This window comes from Homo sapiens, chromosome 1, assembly GCF_000001405.40.
Source record: "Homo sapiens chromosome 1, GRCh38.p14 Primary Assembly".
NCBI classification, from domain to species: domain Eukaryota; kingdom Metazoa; phylum Chordata; class Mammalia; order Primates; family Hominidae; genus Homo; species Homo sapiens.
Window position 1 is genome coordinate 152,119,001 of NC_000001.11, and position 6,822 is coordinate 152,125,822.

General features: G+C 41.1%; 1 pseudogene; it reads right to left on the minus strand.

Moving 5' to 3' along the window:
• PUDPP2 (pseudouridine 5'-phosphatase pseudogene 2) lies at window positions 4,160-6,170 on the minus strand (annotated as a pseudogene).

Consider the following 6,822-nt stretch of genomic DNA (forward strand, 5'->3'; position numbering starts at 1 on the left):
GCGTGATGGCTTGGGATGAAGGTACTCACCTTGATAAGAGTCAGCCCTTCTGGGGCCTCTTTCTAGTTTCACCACTTACAGGACAGATGACAGAGGAGGCAGTACTCCACCTCCCTCTGCCTTCCCTGATGCCCATTGCTTCATCCCACTGTTAAATGAGGAACTGTAAGATACAAATCTCTTCCTCAGAGGGGAGCTGTGATAATTGTGGCTTGTACAGCATTTTGTGATTCTTAGATATAAAAGAGCTAATTATTATGATCATTAATAATCCTTAATTTTTATCTTCTTTAAGGTAAATTACCTTTACTTTAATTACACCCCCACCCTGGTGGTAATTATACCTCTGAGAGTCAGCAGATGCTTTCATCTTACATCATGCCATGCAGGGTGACTGGGCATGGGTGCCAGGGAGGGCATTTCTACCATCTGCCTGGTCCTGCTCTCACCCAGAGTAGCAGAGGGCTTCTGGCTGTCTTTGTTGTTAAACTGGTTATAGATTTCAAGTGATTTGTATTCTTTGTTCTATAACAGTGTCTTTATCCTAACCAGCAGCTCCTCAGTTTCACGGAGACACACTAAATGGTACAAATGAATTTTTATCATTTGTCTAATACTGTGAATTAAGGAAGCAGGTATCTTTCACTGGGCCATAGAGGCTTTATGGTGTCTATTATAAAGAGGTTTTCAACTGCAATATGAAAGAAGGGCCATAGCTCCTCAAGTGTAGAGGTGCTGTGTGACATTCCAGATTTTTCTTGGACTTAGATGTGGTTCTAATAGAATTGTAAGTTACTCTTTGGGATAAGAGGATTTGTGTGAAGAACTGAAAAAAAATGTTTTTGAAGAGATTTTACTTCTGACAAAAAGGCATACCATAAAAAGGTTGGAACTGAGGCTTCACACATAATACATACTTTGGGTGTGGGAATAAAGGCCATGGCCTCCCAAATATGGAAAAGAGCACAGGCAGGCCTGTCCCAATCTAGCTTGAAATGTTTTCTTCAGGTCCAGGCATCCTATAACTGCTTCATGTCATGATATAATTATTCAGTCCTAATCTTGGGTGTTTCAGCACCATGAATCCTACTCTGTCCCTGAAGTAAGGATGGCAGTGGAACAAGGCAGTAGGGTGGATGGCAGTGTTGAGTCTCCCTCCTTCTGATCCTTCCTCTCAGAGTGGTGCATGCTTCTCTGGAGCTCTGCCTTCCCCATCTCCCTTAGCATCTTTCTTTCAGTTTCTTTCCTTTCCTTATTTCCTCTTCTCTTCTCTTTTTAAATTTCTCTTTTCCCATCCCACTCTCAAAACCATTTAATCTCAGGTAGGGAAATAGGACAGGGATGAAGAGACCTCAAGGGGAACCAGTCAAGGTCTGTGTCCCTTTCCCTCAAGTGAGGATCTGATTGAGTTCATAGTAGTATTGGTAAAGAAGCAGAAAATAGGCTGTGTCCTTCTTGGTTCTTCTCTCAGTGAGTCTGTCTTGGTCCATAAGCATTTACTGAGCCCTCTGTTCTACTGTAGGCATTGTTCATGGTAGCAGGAGGCACCCCACCCTACCTCCCAATGATTTGAAGTGGGATATGTTATGGTAAGAAAGGTTTAATTCCAAAAATAAGACTGTATATTGGTATTTCCTTGTACATGCTATAATATTTTGTAAGAATTAGACAAACAAACAAACCTAACAACAGTGGTTACCTGTAGGGAGAGGGGTGGGGAAGTGCCTTTTTACTGTATACTTTCTTATACTTTTTAATATTTAAACCATGTGAATATGTTACCTATTACAAATTAAATACATAGAATCATTTAAAATAAAAGTTTGATTCCAAGAGAAAGGAGATGAAATAAAGAGAAGACAATAATGTATTTTATTTACTCAGCTTATATTGTACCTGGCAGGATACTCGGCACTTAATACATTTTTAATAAAATTTTTTAAGTGTGATAAAGTTAAATGACCCTTAAAAAACCTTAACAGTCACTAAAGTGGTTGTACAATAAGTGTTAGTCTTTTGGCTATTTTGTCAGATGTATGATTAGAACTTTACAGATTTTTTCTGAGGCTCTTGCTTATCTGCAGATAAAGAGTGCTGTGGGTACTTCTTCTCTGGGTGTCTAAACCCAGCCTGGCTCTGGGCTCTCGGTGGGCTCACTGTTAGCTCTGGGCAGAGGGTGAACCACTAATAGCTCATCTACAACCAGCTCTTTGAGAGTATTTCCTAAATTAGAAAAAACATGCTTTTGGCAGCACAAATTTGATCTTTGAAGTGAACCACATCCTATAGATATGACAAATGGGGAATAATTACAACTTCTCAAAGTCAAAATTCAGTTATTCTAATATAAATGTAATCCATACTTTCAGGGCCAACATTTCAAAATTAGTCTTTAAAGTCTCTTTTGTTGTGTTTTTCAAGGTGCAAAACTCTTTGAAAGTCTCTGAATACAAGCCCTAGATACTGAGTTCATCATTCTAGATAGTTTATCCTCATCTGTTCCATGAATGTTCACACTGCCTTGCTACTTAGCTAATTAAAAACTTTCATTAAGAACCTGATAAATGGAAGGTGAAAGAGTATAGAGCATTGGAAAAGACCCATTCAAGGCATTCAGAAGGTATGATGTAGTTGTGACTTTCAGTTATAATCCGCAAGTGCTCTACAAGGAGAAAGAGACTACTCCTTGGTGAAGTGGTGTAGGAAGTCTTCAAGGAGGAGATGGGAGTTGTTCTGGATAGGGTGAGTGGATTTCAGGCAGGCCAAGTGAAACGGAGGCATTCCAGGCAGTGTGAGGAAAGATGGGGAGTAGGAATGGGCAAAGCATATTTTGAGAAAAAGATAGTTGAACCATCAGACTATAGTGGAGACTTTATCACTCTTTCGCAAAGGGCCATGTTGCCTTGATCCTTTCAAGGGTTGACCTTGCAGAAGAGAAAGTTGATTTCAACCATCCATCCATTCAGGAAGAAAGAAATTGAATATAGTAAGATGCAGGTTCCATGAAAGCAGGTTCCACGAAAGCAGGTTCCACTTCTGTTTTGTTTGTTGTTGTGTTCCCAGTGGCAGAGAACAGGCCCTCAGCAAATATTTGTTAATTGAAAGAGCGAATGAATTGCATTTATTTATCATATACAAGACTATATGCAAATGCCATGACTAGAAAGTAGCCCTGTAAGAGTTCAGAAGAAGTCAGTTTTTGATAGCAGGATTGGGAAGAAGAGATGGAGTAGAAAAGGAACACTTGAGAGAAGTAGCAATAAGCCATAAGATGGAGAGAGGGTACAATTTTATTTTTAAAAATCTTTCTGAAAGTACTGAATGATTGGCTAGATTGTTGGGGCAAAACAGGTGGGAGTGAGGATGAGGAAGGCAAGAGCAGTCTATTAATATTTGGTAGGATATTGATATTAAAATTAATATCCTACTTCTTCCTACACTGGCCTGATCAGTGCGGTTTTTTAGAGATTAAAAATAGAGGTTGGAGAAATGATTTTTGCCGTGGGATTGATTTCATATCTGTATCTTAAAAGCAATTCCAAGAGTATCATCTGAGCCAGCCTGAACTTCCTCTGCTACTATTATTCAAATAAGGATTTGAATAAGCAGAATTTGCTTCAGTGAGGAAACTGCCTGGGGCATCAGCCTAGGAGAGGGTAAGTGAACTGGTTTTGCCCACATGTATTCAATGGCTTATGAAAGAAAACTCATCTTTTCTTCTTCTTCTTTTTTTTTTAAACATGTGTTTAAAAATGTTATTAAACTAATTCAATTTGTGAGGGAAACTGTGAGACATTACAACTGGTTTGAAGGAGAATTCAAAGTGCAGACATGTATACAGGCCATCAGGAATGAGGAAATGGGCTGGGTACAGTTGCTCATGCCTGTAATCTCAGCACTCCTGGGAGACCCAGGCGGGTGGATCACTTGAGGTCAGGAGTTCGAGATTAGCCTGGCCAAGGTGGTGAAACCCCGTCTCTACTAAAAATACAAAAATTAGCCAGGTGTGGTAGCGCATGCCTGTAGTCCCAGCTACGCTGAGGCAGGATAATTGCTTGAACCCAGGAGACGGAGGTTGCAGTGAGCCGAGATCATGCCACTGCACTCCAGCGTGGGTGACAGAGCGAGACTCCATCTCAGAAAAAAAAAAAAAAAAAAGGAATGAGAAAGCGAATTTGCTAAATTGATGCACAATCAATCAATAGCCAGGGCCTGTCATCCACAGTCACTCCACCAGACACACACATGCATTCCTATGGTTTGTCCACAACTTCCAGAGCTGAAGAGTAGCTCAAGGACGTCAAAGGGCAGAGGCCACAGGGAATGGCTGAGCCACAACTGAGCAGCACTTCTTCACTCCCCATTTCCATGGCTATCACCATTTTTCTCTGACAAATCATAGACAAATTCTAAAGACTGAGTAAATCTATAAAAGTGAATAATCACAGAAGTGCAATGTCTGATCAATGATTCCAAAAGTGTTCCTGGGCACTCAGTCTCACTAAGTATACATTCTGAAATCAAATTCTATTTCTTTACAAAAAGTGTAGGCAATCAGTGTTCTTAAATGAGGCAAATGGTTATTATGAGGTAGAAAACATTCTCCAATGTGGATAACGATGTAGATACCAGATAAATGCTACAGTTGTGTTCACACTAACAACAAATTATAGATGATGTGGCTCAGAGTCAGTCGATGAGTGAAAATCCAGAGATATTCTGAGGTCACAAAAAGAATTTTAATGTTAACTAATAAGGATAATTATTTCTTAGTGCTCACCAGAAACATGGCTTTCCCACTCAGATTGCAGACCAGCCAGAACTACCATCTCACTTTGTCAGTTGCCATTGCATGTTGACATCAACACTGAGGAGAGTGATGCAGATGATCGATATAAATATATATATAATACATATGTATGTACACATGAAGCATATACTTATATGCATACATAGTTTACATTTTTCCAGCTGGGGTTTCAGAAAAACTAGAACAAAAGAGAAATCATGTTCCATTTTGTCTTGGAAAAGTATACATCTCACATATACAGATATGCATATATCTACATACATATACATGTAATGCCTATATGCATATGAACATACTGAGATATATATATGTATATGTATCTATATGTGTATATATATATATGCATATACATTCACTTTATCACATACTCCATCAGCTTGGTTTTTGAGATGGTAATTCAAGTTCGATTTTTGTTCCGGGCTTTGTTTTCGTCTCTACTAAGTTTCTCTCAACTGTCAAGCCACATTTCATCAACACTTTAGAGTGGGGCAAGCCAACACAGGATGGAAAGGCAAACCTTAGGAAGCTAAAATTACTGTGCAGTCTGGGATTTGGGAGTTGTTGATTTCCTTTCCCTTTCCCCCAGCAGTGTGGACCATGAGAGTGGGCTGGGGGCGGCCCTCCCTCTCACTCATAGGGGAGCAAACCAAACAGCTCAGGCTGGAAGTCCTGCAGGGAATTCAGCACCGGGGTGGCCTTTCTCCTCAAGTCTCAGTTCAAGGTTCTGTCTAGAATGAAGACCACTTGCATCCCAGTTGCCAGGGTTGCCTCCACCTCATTGAGAGCATCTTCAAACAAGGCACCTCTCCATAGGAGGACAGGGAGAGAACCTGTTGGCACAAGCTGGGAGGATGTTGGGGTCTGGCTTGCTGTGCTGTACTTCGGGGTCATCTCCCTGCATAATGTGAGAAAACAGGCTGAAGAACTCCTTGTGTCAGCTCACCTTCATCTCCAATGAGGCAGACCCTGAGCTGGTGGCCATGGCAAAGGGAATGCTGTGTTTCTGCAGGTGGACGATGAGATTCTCAGCCCCTGGCATGAGCACAGCTGTAGGGAACACTTCCTTTAACTTCGTTTGGCTTTCTTCCACCAGTTCCTCCTTGGACATCAGGAGCTGCAAGATGTCTATTATAATCTGTGCTGCCTCTAATGCCTACTTACCCATTACCAGGGACTTTACAACCCAGCTGTATTTCTTTTCATAGAAATCACATATTTCTTGAAACAGCACTGAATATAGCCATTCAGTATCCAGAAGAAGGCCATCCATGTCAAAGATGAGGTGGGTGATGGGCTGCGGTGGGGGGTGGGGGTGCTCCCATGGTGCTGCCTTCTCCGTCTGGGTGGGGGTGAGGAGCAAAGAGACCTCATCTTTCTTTCTTTCTTTTTTTTTTTTTCTTTGAGACAGAGTCTTGCTCTGTCACCCAGGCTGGAGTGCAGTGGCATGATCTCGGTTCACTGCAACCTCCGCCTCCCAGGTTCAAGCGATTCTTCTGCCTCAGCCTCCTGAGTAGCCGGGACTGCAGGTGTGTGCCACCACACCAGGCTAACTTTTTGTGTTTTTAGTAGAGATGGGGTTTCACCGTGTTAACTGGGTTGGAGACCTCACCTTTCTAATCCAAGCATCTGATATATTTCATCCTGATCTTCTGCACTGAGCATTATATGATCAATTCAGTCTAATCAAATTTAATGGACATTGGTTCAGGTTCTGAGAACTCAAATATGGCCAAATATACCTCTGCCTTGCATCTCCAGTTTAGTGAGGGAAGTTTTGGCCTATGAGACGTGGTGATGGGGACTCTATTTTTTGTTGTGATCATTATTATCTTCATCAATCACTATAAGCCAGAAACAAAAGTAACTATTGTCTCTGTTATTTAATTCTTACACCAATCCTGTATAGTAAGCATGAATAGTCTCATTTTGTAGATGGAGAAACTGAGTCTTTGTGATGCTAAGTAACTTACCTAAGGCCAATTAAGTCGGCAAGTTGCAGAGCTGGAATTTGA